A 12,635-nucleotide genomic window follows, 5' to 3' on the forward strand; every position below is an offset into this window, starting at 1 on the left:
AGATCTCTTTATAGACCACAATATTATTTCCAGCAACAATCATGCTGTTCCCTCTATTCTGAAAGTGAAATCCACAGTCTATGTCAATTTATCCATGGGAAGAGATGGGGGTGGAGTAACTGTGGCCAGAAATTTTGGATTTCAGGATCCCGTTCATACCTCTGCCTCCCACCTCTCACACACATCTCTGAGGCTCCATTTATGAACCTAGCATCACCATAGAGTGTTCCAATGGCCAAAAGTTGCTGGAACCACTTGGTAAACTTCTGTTATTTTCCAAATGCACCATAACACAGAGTTATGCACTCTTACATGCACTCAGATGGACATGAGCACTCACACTGGAAAATTCATTTGCAGCTAAATGCTTTATGCTGCCACCACACTGAATTAGAATTATCTGATTCCCTCACTTGCCCATTACTTGACTCTAAGCTTTGGAGGACTGAGCCTTGTTTATTTTGCTCTGCTTTGTACTGCTGTCTGCCAATAGCTATTTGTTGAATAAATAAATAAAACTGAAAGGTAAACAAGCAAACAAACTCAAAACCATACGTGTATGGCCAATATGAACTCACAAACAGATCCCCAACTCATATGCCTTCCAGATCACACTCAGAGGCACATTCACATGCCAGCCATGTGTGTGAGTCATGCATGTGCCCCGGCTCATGTTTGGACTGTCTCTCAAGTTGTTCCATTCATCTCTCAGCACCCCTATGTCTCTGCGTATTTTGACTAGAGTATTCCAGGCACCTGGCTGGTTTACATTGTGGCTTCCCAGATGGGAGCAGATAGAAGAGACCACATGAAAGCTTTTAGCATCCTCTGTTCTTCAAAGCTTGCCGTTCATATCCCCAGACCAGGTGGTCAGCAGGGTCGAATGTGGTTCATGGGCCTGACTCTGAGGTCTCTTTTTTATGAGTTCAAACCCAACATTGACCACCAGGGAAGACTTAATCTATTTAATATATACCCTTCTCTGGGGTCCCAGATGGTGATGAGGCCAAAGCAAAGGTATCAAACCACATGTGGTCTTTAAATAGCCCTTGATGTTTGTCACAGGGGTTGAGCCCGGGGCCTGGACCCATTCCAGTTGGTAATTGATAATTCCAACTGGTAATTATGTGCTCTGGGTAGTTTCGGTTGGCATCTGCACATCCTGTCCTCAAATGGCGAGAGGTGTTCCCAGATTTCATGCCAGAGGTGGCTCCATTTCAAGCCCCATAAAGTTTCTAAATACCTTTGGAATGCTGCAGGATAAAAGATACTGTCCTCATTAAACACATGGGCTTCTCAAAAGAAAACCCATTACTCTCTGATGATGACAGTTTTTCCTGATCCTTATGTTCCTTGTTAAAGGAAAATGTCACTTAATAAAGAAGACACACATAACTCTTTCCAAGAATTAACTAATTATGCCAACCAACCTCCTAAGGAGAGAGACAAGTGATTTGGTTACAAATCATTATATCCTTCAGGATATAGAGTTGTTCTAGATTTTCTTGATGCTTTTTTGTCTTCCTTTTTATTTTTCACTTTTTGCTATATAATTAATGAAAACCCTTAGATTGAGGTCCGTTCATTTCTCTCCCTATAGCGTACCCGTCCATTTAAGAAGATGTAGGCAGCTGGGTGCGGTGGCTCAAGCCTGCAGTCCCAGCACTTTGGGAGCCCGAGGCAGGTGGATCTCCTGAGGTCGGGAGTTCAAGACTAGCCTGACCAACATGGAGAAACCCTGTCTCTACTAAAAATACAAAAAATTAGCTGGGCGTGGTGGCGCATGCCTGTAATCCCAGCTATTGGGGAGGCTGAGGCAGGAGAATTGCTTGAACCTGGAAGGTGGAGATTGCGGTGTGCCAAGATTGTGCCATTGCACTCCAGCCTGGACAAGAGTGAAACTCCATCAAAAAAAAAAAAAAAAAAAGAATTATATTCTATTCTTGTTTAGAATAGACGCTGGCAGCTGGGCGTGGTGGCTCATGCCTGTAATCCCAGCACTTTGGAAGGCTGAGGCCGGCAGATCACAAGGTCAGGAGATCGAGATCATCCTGGCTAACATGGTGAAACCCCATCTCTACTTAAAAATAAATAAATAAATAAATACAAAAAATTAGTCAGGCGTGGCAGCATGTGCCTGTAGTCCCAGCTACTCGGGAGGCTGAGGCAGGAGGATGACGTGAACCCAGGAGGCAGAGCTTGCAGTGAGCCAAGATTACACTACTGCACTCCAGCCTGGATGACCGAGCAAGACTCTGTCTCAAAAAATAAATGGAATAGACGCTGGCCAGAGATAAAATTGTAGTCTTCCTCTTCCTGTTCTATCAAAGGAATTCCAAAGCCAGACTCAGCTAAATACCTAACATGTTGATCATGGAGATGACCACTTTCAAAACCCATGTGGAGGAGCCTTAGATTTTAATGGCCAACCTTACAGATTTCTCTATTTCCTGAGAGTGTATCACGCTTGTTGTAAACATGTCTGGAAAGAACACATACTCCAGCCATGACCTATGTGTTTAGTTCTTTATTACTGTGTAACAAATTACTACAAAACGAGGATCTGTAAAACAACAGCTTTTATTCTCAATTTGTTGGTTTAACTGGACTCAGCTGGGTGGTTATTATGCTGGTCTCACTTAGGGTCTCTCAAGCACTTGCAGCAAATGATGGCTGGGGCTGGAAACATCTGAAGACAGAGACACTGTGATGGCTCTCATTTTCTTCCTGCCATCTCAGGACTATTTCTTTCCATGTGGCCATTCCAGACGAGTAGATAAACTTCTTGTAGGGTGACTCAGGGCTCCCAAGAGTGAACATTTCATGAAGTAAGAAGCAAAAGTGACAGTCCTCTTAAAGGCTGGGCCTGGAATCAACATTATATTACTTCCTCTGCATTCTATAGCCTAACGTGAGTGCCAGGCCAGCTCAGATTTCATTTGAAATTCACTTGGAAGTGATCACACAAGTGTGTGAAAACCAGGAGATGGTTCACTGGGGGCCACCCTTGTAGAACAGCCATTATTGTCTTTCTTGTCAACCCCCATCAAAAGCAATTCATCCCATATTTGAGCATAGATGCATCAAATCCTGCTCACTCCACTCAGATCTAGTGCTGCTTCTTCTCTGGCCTGTCCCCTCCTCAATTTTCGTTCATATTTTAAGTTTGTGTTTTCTGCTTTCCCTTCACAGCATCAACATGGACCCATTTCCCCAGTTTTCAAATTCACTGAAAGCTCATAACGACTTCCACACTCTTAACTTGAAATCTGATAGGAATTTGATCCAAATTCAAGTCAAGTATTATTAAGTGAATTAACAAAATTGAGAAATGGTATAAGTAATATGATTATCTTTATTTAAAAGTACATAAATAAGCACATGTATGAGTACAGAGAATATATGAATTCTCTAAATGTATGGATTCACTAAGATGTCAGCAGAGATTTCCTCTAGGGAAAGTTTGGACTCTGGGAAACGGGTAACAGATAACTTTTTATTTTATCCTCCTCTAGATGTTAAAAAAAAATATTTTCAACTAGTTTGTGGTTCCTTTATAATAAAAACTAATTTAAAAACATAACCCAAGTCTAGGAAACATTGGCAGTATTTAGACCATGAATCAGGCCTCATTCTTGGGATTAGTGTTTTTATAAGTGCTAATATGTTTTTAGCAAAGAACCCCACAGCTAATTTGGATGTACTCAAAGATGCACAGCAGGACCCACCCACACATACATGAGCACATGCTGCATGCACCACACGCCCATAATTAAGCATTAAGTAGAAGTGTGCAACATCCATCAAGCAATAGGCAAAGCGTGCACAATGTTTACCAAATCCAAACTGGTACTGAAAAGTTAATATTCTCAATTTTAAAACCAAAAGAGCATAACCAAGCTCTTCTTTTCTGCCTTCCTTTCTTGCGCTGAGTATTGAGAAGCATCCTCTGGGATGGTCACCCCAGAGTCTGGCTCACTTAGCTAGATACGCACCCAGCTAGGAACCACCCTGGGTGCCCAAGTGTCTCTCGCCTATCGGTTGCCTATCTCCCAGAATGCCTCTCTCTACAAGTGGCCAGAATGTAGCCCATGGGCCATTCTGAGAACACGCTCTTTCTTGAAATGGCAATGCAATGTGCTGGAGGGTTTCAGAGCTGATCAATGACTGCAACAGTGAGGTCAGGATGTACAGTTGTTTGACTCAGCTCAATAAATCTAACTTTCTGGAGCAGGAAAAAGATCTCTATGTTTTAAAAATGCTTGTTTAAAGAACCCTGTAGAGATTCTGTGTCCTCTGCCCCAGCTCCTTCCCCAAATGCACCACCATCTTGCTATTGCTAACACTCACACGAGTAGGATAGATTGTGAGCAGAAACATATTGACATATTGAAAAGCCCATTGATCTGCAGCCTTCACTGAACCTAACATTCAGTCTGACAAGAGCTCTCAGTACTTCTAAGCACGTGCTTTTATCTGCTTGCTGGAAGCCCGATTATCAGTCCTGACCCTTGCCCCAGTAGAGGCAGAAGGGGTGTTAGAGAGGATCTACCCAGTGGTTTTCCGAGATGGCCCCCAAGGACCTATTCCCATAGAAGAGCTTCTGTGGCCACAGCAGTGGGTGAGAAGTTCTCTCTAAATAGGAGAGATGGTGGCGGGAAGGATAAACAAGACATTTTGTAGGAGCTAAACACTTCACATGCGCCATTTTATTTCTCACTGCAACAACCCCACGGGGTCAGTTCTATGAATGGTCTCATTTTCAGAAGAGGAAACTAAGGCTCTAAGATGCTAAAAAAGTTTGAGGCTAGGAATAAAGTGTGAGACTTTATCTAAAACAACCATTAAAACTCCACTTGTAGGCATTCCCACACATAATTTTGTATGAACAAGACTCTACAGCCAAAATCAGAAAAGTTTAAGAACTTCTGAACTAGTCTATGCATCAATTCTTTCCATTTTAGAGATGAAAGTCCTGATGCTTAGAGGAAGAAAAAAATAACTTCTCAAGTCAACTCAAGGCCACTAAGCAATAGGGAGAGAAATTGGAGTTAGAATGCCTACAAGTAATAATCATACTGGCAGCTAGTATTTGTTGATGGCATGTTATGTGTCAGGTACTATGCTTCTCAAATATGAGCTCATCTAACCCTCAGAACAACCATATGAAGTGGGTTCTCTTTGAGTCCCCTTATTTCAGATGGGGAAACAGAGACATAGAGATTCCGTCCCTTGCCTGAAGTCACAGGGCTACTGAGCAGTAGAGCCAGTTTCAAATTGAGGCTCTCTTGGGCGAGGGCCCAGGCTCATGACCAGGAGGCAATCCTGTCTCTGCTGAGCCAGGCCTTGAGGGTAGAAATCAAGCTCCACAGATGAGTGCAGTGCCAGGTACAAAGTACGTGCTCAGGAAACACCAGTGGAATGCAATGGACTTTATATTCCAGACAGTCTTCAGAGAACACTGAAATCTATGCATTCTCCTGTCATCTGCTCACACTGTCTGCCTTGAATGTGCCCATCAGTGACCATAGAAACTTGCATAACCAGGTATCAAGGGCTATGCCTTCTCCAAGTTCCCCCTCCCATCTCCCTCTGAGCTAGGCTTGCTCCTTGTGACAGCAGGAGTTTCACTGACAAGCCCCTATAGAGGGTTGAGGGGTGGGGATGGCTCTGTGTCTGGGTGGCCACAGGAACTTCTGCAGAACCTCCAAAAGCTCTTGTACCCCACCTGCCATAGCCATCACCTATTGTCCGTGTCACAGGCACCATCCTCAAGTCTAGAAGTGCCGAGCGGCATGAGCCTTTCCTGCTGTTCGAATGCCATGCAGGGTGGGCCCAGCGGAATTTTGAAGTTGGTAGTGGATCCCGGTGGGTAAGGACTTGGTGTACAAAGTCAAATGAACATGTGTTTTCTTATTTTAGTCTTACTTTTTTACTTTTGGATGGATGGTTTGCAATTCTAGAGGTTCATGATGACATAAAGTAAAGAATGAGACTCTCTCCATCTCGTTTCACAAATCTGGGTTTAAATGTCAGCTTTGCAAGCATCAGCCTGTGTTTTGCTGCTTCAGGCCTCCATTTCCTCATCTGCAAAAGGAAGATAATGTAGCAATTCCCTTGGAGGCTGGCAGTGAGTATTAAATAAGAGGAGGCCTTGATTTTGGCAAAGTTCTGGAGCATTGGGAAATGCTTAATAAATGTTAGCACCTCTTAATAACTCTCTAGTATATCTCTTCGTGTGTGTGTTTGCTGCTGTAAGATCAGCCAGGACACAAAACCCTCCATAGGCACAAATTTATACATGTTGAATCTTATCTCCATGCAGCCTTCTAGAAATACATTGTCATCTGGTAGACACATTTAAAGTTGTACTTAATGTGTCTGTGTGTGTGTGTGCTTATTTGTTAAGTGCATATAACAAAGAGGTGAGTTTACTTTTCCTTCAAGAAACTCAAATTGTTTGTAAAACCTTTAACAGAGATTAAATAGCTGATAATCAACTTTTACCATGTTGTTGACTCTTTCAACATTTGTCTTAGTGATCTTCTCTGAAACGATGTGTACAGATTGTAGGATTCACTTCTTAGGCCGGCCATGGGAAAATTCTCCCCATGCTTTAGTATCTTCCAGGGTAAAAAGGATGAGGCAGGAGCGGGTGGCTATAAGTCCTTCTTTTTGTCCCCCAAGCAAGTCTCTCTGAAATGTCACTTACCAAATAGCGGCAGGACACTCTGCTGTCTTCATTTGTGGCCACTCCACTTTTCTTTTCTTTCTTTTCTTTTCTTTTTTTTTTTTTTTTTTTTTGAGATGGAGTCTCACTCTGTTGCTCAGGCTGGAGTGCAGTGGTGCAATCTCAGCTCACTGCAACCTCTGCCCTCTGGGTTCAAGCAATTGTCCTGCCTCAGCCTCCTGAGTAGCTAGGATTACAGGTGTGTGCCACCACACCTAGCAAATTTTGTATTTTTAGTAGAGATGGGATTTCACTATGTGGGTCAGGCTGGTCTTGAACTCCTAACCTCATAATCTGCCCTCCTCTGCCTCCCAAAGTGCTGGGATTACAGGCATGAGCCACCACACCTGGCCACCACTTCACATTTCTTTTGCTGGCCTGAGAAATTGAGGTAGTTGGGAAGTAGCTTGCACCAATTCAAACAACATGGATAATACCAGCTTCAGCATCTACTACCTTTGGGATCTGGGGTGAATGATTCAACCTCACTGACTGTATTTCTCATCCGTAAAATCAGAATAAGAGTAGACCCCCTTCACAGGGCTCAGGTTTGTGTTAAAGACAATATGAGCCTGAGTATTTGGTAATTTTTCTTTCCCTCAGAACAACCATATGAAGGCGACAATTTCAAACACCCAGCCCTAAGGAGACAGCTTCTTGGCCTCCCGACCGCCTTTCTTCATGAAATCTTTCCAAACACCTCAACACACACACACTTTTGCCCTTCTCTGACCTCCGTGCTACATAGGATCTGACCCAGGGAAGTGGTCTCCGAGTAGTACTGACAAACCATCTCTAATAGGCACGAGATCCTTTTGATTTTTTGAAGCCTGTATCCCAACCCATGTTATAAATATCAGAAAATCAGAACCAATTTGTGATTTAAAAAAATGTCTCTAATATTTTTCTATTAGCATCTGGCAAATAGATGTTTGGAAAAATACCGATGGGACAACATGGTGTCTAAAAGTGCAGCAAACTTTGTTATACATGGTAAAGGGAGTCAGATTGCAAGTGAAGACATACTTATATCAGGGAAAATTAGGAGAAAATTAAAAATCCCCTCTACATATAACCAAAAATGGGAGGGATAAACATAAAGGGTAGATATAAGAAAATGTAACACTGGGTGAGTTCTTCTTCAAATTAACACACAAAATATTTACTGAATTGATATTAGAAGTTGGAAAACAATTGACTAAATGACTGAAGGTCATGGAAGAAATGCTATGTACAAACCACTGTGTGCTAACATCTGGGACCTGTCCTCATAGATGGCCTAGTTTAGGGAAGGAATGACACGTAACAAGGAATTTTAATAAAAGTTCACATCTGCACCGGCGATTATGAGCTGGTGGAGTGGAGAATCAGTCTGGGAAGGCTTCCCGGAAGAGTAAGAACATTCTGTAGAGGGTTAACAGTGAGAACAAAGGTGGGAGAGATGTCACATCCAGATGAGAAAGCTGTTCTTTATAGGATGGTCCCCAGGCATGAACAGCTCTGTGAGATGGTGAGAGATTGAATGAGCACCACAGAGGAGGTCTTTGCTCTAGAAGGGCCGATCTGAGAGGGGGCCCCAAGTTCTCCTTCCACTCACCACTCCCTGCTTACACTGGGAAGAGAGCTCCTTCCTGTTTTAGGTTCAGGCCAGTGCCTCTAAGCTTGAGTGTCTATCAAAATCCTTGGGGGTTGTGGGGCGGTGTTGCTAAAATGCAGACTGCTAGTCCCTCCCCCTGAAGTCTCTGATTCATTGTATCTGGGATAAGGCCTGGGGATTTCATCTTCAGCAAGTTCTCAGGGGATGCTGCCAGCCCAGGGAACCCCACTTTGAGATCAGCTGGCCTTGGTAGTATTCCCCAGACAGAGACATTAAGTCCCAGCTGACAGTGTTGGAGCAAGGATAAGATTGTAAAACACAGCCCGCTGCTCACCAAATCCCTGGCACGGGCCTTGTGCACACTCTGAAAGTGTGTCCAAACCACACAGTCCCATTCTTGCCTGCCAAAGTCAGGTATCCTACAGCAAGGCCGGGGGTGGGGGCGTCCCCACCCAACACTCTGCACAGTTTCACAGCCCCAAGAACTCACCTGCAGAAAGATCTTTCCAGGCCTTATAGTGTACATCTAGATACTAGGTCTTGGCGCCTGTTGAAAGGAATCGTGCCTGCGTTAATTATTCCACCACAGTGAGTGACTCCAACAGGAATCGTGGTGGCTAATTATGAAGCCTCCTCGCCCGCAACCAGATTCCAGATTGGGGTCCCCTGGGTTCTAACTGTGCCATTAACTCTGATTAGGCATGTGTGGCCCTTTATTCTTGTTGCTGCTAACATCCTAATCTGAGTTTCTTCAACTTTGAAGTGGGGATGAGGTCGCTTTATTGTTTCAGGAACGGATACATGGTTGCTGCTTATTAAATGCTAATTAGTACATGATAAGTGCAATTAGAGGGTCGGAGCTGACTGCTAAAACCCGCCCAGCAGTGAAGCTGGCCATTGCGAGGAAAACCAGTTTACCCAGCTACAGAGAGAATAATCGGGAAGTAAAACAAGCCTTGAAGAGCTTATTTGTTTCTGAGGCCAAGTTCCACTTGTTTAGAGTTTACACCTTTCTACATTTTATATTTGCTTTATTTCTTATTTTTTCCTCCTCCCCAAAGACATTGACTAGAACGCCTTGGGATGTAGCTTGCAAGATACACCCTGAGCCCACTTAAAGAGCAGGACACAGCTTGGGACGCGAATGGGCTGCCTGCTTAGCTGGTGGCTGGTTTTGCTGTAGCAATAAAAACCTTAAGGCCTGGTGGCATGCCTCCCTTCAACCACCCCAGGATCTCAGTTCTGAGGTCTCTGAAGTCTCTAAAGTTTTCTTGCCTTTCCGTAACAGGCGCGAGAAGGCTTCTGCGGCTGGGTGTGGTGGCTCACACCTGTAATTCCAGCGAGGGTGGGAGGATCACTTGAGGCCAGGAGTTCAGGACCAGCCTGGGCAACATAAAGAGACCCTGTCTCTACAAAAAATTAAAAAATTAAAAAATTGTCCCAGTATGGTAACAAGCCCCTGTAGTCCCAGCTACTGGGAAAGCTCAGGTGGGAGGATCACTTGAGCCTAGGAGTTCAAGGCTGCAGTGAGCTAGGATTGTACCACTGTACTCCAGCCTGGGCAACAGAGCCTGCCTCTGAACAAAGGGTTTCTGCCACTCCATGCTTAACGACTGCATCCCAGGCAGGCAAAGGAGAAGGAACAGATGGGCTGAACCTGTCCCACTTCTTTGAGGAAAGTGAGTGTGTCCCTAACAGCACACACCCTCTCCCAACAGGGTTTCCCTTAAACTTCACCGACAATCCTGTGCCATTGTGACCCTAGCTGCAAAGGGTTCTGGGAGAGTGAGCATTTCCCAGGGCAGTGAGCACATTGCTGTTCTGGACAAAATCAGTCTGAGCAGAGAAAGGAGAGGATGAGTTTGAAGTAAGCAGCTGCCTATATCCATCCAACAGTTGAGCTCAGAGGCAGGCAGCATGAGGGTGGAAAGCTCTGCAGCCCACACGTTGCTCAGCTTGTTCACTCTAACTTTCCAGCTTCTTTATTTGCATAATTATAGAAATAACCCACCCATACCCCTTCTGGGGGCATCTGTGAGGGTTAAGTGATGTCACTTATAAAAGCCCTCCATACAGTGTCCAGCACACAGTGTGTGTTCTGCAAAGAGTAGCTATTGGAGTTAGTGCTGGGAGTGACAACCTTCCCCTTGATTCCACCAGCCCTGCTGGGCCCCTCAGTGCTTTGCTCTGCCATTTCCCAGAGCCCTGCTGGAAGACCAGGAAGAGTGCCTGAAGCCGCGGTTGTTATTTGAACGCAGGCCTTCCTGCAAGCTGGACTTTGTTCATCCCTGTGGACAGCATATCTGGAAAGCACAGACACTGTAACCACATCGTGGTTTGACCTTTAAGCTCTGGGAGCATAAATCCTTCTAGCGTCTTGTTTTTCACGGTCAGAGTCCATGCCACTGGCTCCCCACTCGTATGAGTGGGCTGAGGACCAATCTGCTCTCCCAGCACTAGGAAGGATAGACACTAATAACTCCCAATTGATATGTAACTTGCCCTAATATTGACCCTGGCCCTGATGACTCCCAATTGATATGTAACTTGCTCTAATATTGACCCTGGCCCTGTGGTTAGTGATTCTCATTGCAGGGTAAATGATTGGACCGTTTTGGCTTTTACCCCATTTGACATTTTCACAGCCTCTACCACCATCTTCAACAACAAAATAAGACAGCTTAATTAATTGTGTGACACAAGGATGAGCCATGCTGTTGCTCTTTAGTGGATACAGTGGCAAACTTCACAGTATTTCTTCTGAATCAACTAGAAGGTGTGACTGCCCTTTATCAAATATGACAAAAGTGGAAAGTCCCACTTTTTCCCATCAGAGATGTATCTACATTAAACCATCCGAGTGAATGATAATAATAATATTATTATTAATATAAATGGAACGCTCAAGACATGCCTGGTGTGCTAAGTATGTTAGATTAGCAACAACCATTTATTCTTAAACAGTTACAGAATTCCAAATATCTGCTACGCTCTGTATTAGCCACTGTGTAAGAGGTTAAAACAACATGGTTCCTGTACTGTGTGGGGAGGCAGCAGATGAATAGGTCTAGTGTCATTAGGGCTGTGAAGGGAGAATACTAATTACTGTTAATAGTAATAACATTATTGTTGTGAGGTCTTAGCTGAGGGACTCCTCCATGTCAGGTGCTTAGGATACATTACATTTTTAACCATCATCACCACTATGACCTCTTCATGCATTAATAGATACTCTTTATAATCCCATTTTTAAAATGTGGCACCTAAAGTAGAGAAGTTGAGTAGCCTAAGGTCATACAGCTGGTGAGAATCTGGTGGAATTGCAATCCCCTTCTGGCTGTCTACAGAGTTCATACTCTTCACACCACAGCTGGGCTGCTAAGGGCCAAATCCTAGCTCTGCCTTTTACCGGCTTTGCAACCTTGGGCAAGTTCCTTCAGCTCTCTAGACTCAGTTTCCTAATCTATAAAATGGGTTTATAATATTACTACAGAGTAGTGATAAAGAATACATGGGTTAGTGTACGCAAAATGCTGGAGACAATTAACATATGTGAATCCTGTGACCTGATACGCACCCAGCAAACCCAGCACCCTCCAGCTCCACCATGACAACACAGAGGATGCTCCTCTAGCCCAGCAGGAGAAGTCAGCTGCATTGAGGCTTGAAGGGTGAATAAGAATTATCTGGGTAGGAAAAGGAGAACAGCCTCACTGGCAGAGTTTTTATAAAGGCACCAAAGTCTGAAAGGCATGAAGAGTTTAGAGGGACCCGTTAACAGTTTAGAACAACTGGATGACAATTGCGTAGAAGGAAATGGATACTGCGGATACCACGGAGCTCAGCAAGCAAGTTTCACCTTCTAAAGGCAGTGGGTGAAGGTTAAAGAATATAAAGCAGGAAAATGACTCATCCCCCACCCCTCAAAGAACAAATGATTCTAAATCCAACTCTGGGACATTTTTGGTTCTTAAGAAATGAGAGCCTCACTCTGTTGCCCAGGCTGGAGTGCAGTGGTGCAATCCTAGCTCACTGCAGCCTGGAATTCCTGGGCTTACCTGATCCTCTCTGCTCAGACTCCCAAATAGCTGCGAGTACACGTGTGAACAACCACACCCTGCTAAGTAAAAAAAAAAAAAAAATTTGTAGACACAAGATCTTAGTATTTTGTCCAGGCTGGTCTTAAACTCTCAGGCTCAAGTGATACTCCCTCCTCGGCCCCCCAAACTGCTGGGATTATAGGTGTGAGCCCCCATCCCAGCCTACTTTGGGAACTTAAGTCCTGTTGTGGCCCATACTGAAGAGATG

At 44.2% G+C, this 12,635-nt stretch overlaps 2 annotated features.

Annotated features, from left to right (window-relative positions):
- Positions 10,601–10,745: an enhancer, noted in NCBI's record as "145 bp enhancer 204/205 fragment used in the MPRA reporter construct; PK_construct_1575". NCBI's record gives its function as "activates an SV40 promoter by MPRA in HepG2 cells {active_cell/tissue: HepG2}" and the evidence as "EXISTENCE:reporter gene assay evidence [ECO:0000049][PMID:23512712]".
- Positions 10,666–10,679: a transcriptional cis regulatory region, noted in NCBI's record as "HNF4 motif; enhancer activity is reduced when this motif is scrambled". NCBI's record gives its function as "necessary for full MPRA enhancer 204/205 activity {active_cell/tissue: HepG2}" and the evidence as "EXISTENCE:site-directed mutagenesis evidence [ECO:0005528][PMID:23512712]".

This window comes from Homo sapiens, chromosome 16 (genome assembly GCF_000001405.40).
Source record: "Homo sapiens chromosome 16, GRCh38.p14 Primary Assembly".
NCBI classification, from domain to species: domain Eukaryota; kingdom Metazoa; phylum Chordata; class Mammalia; order Primates; family Hominidae; genus Homo; species Homo sapiens.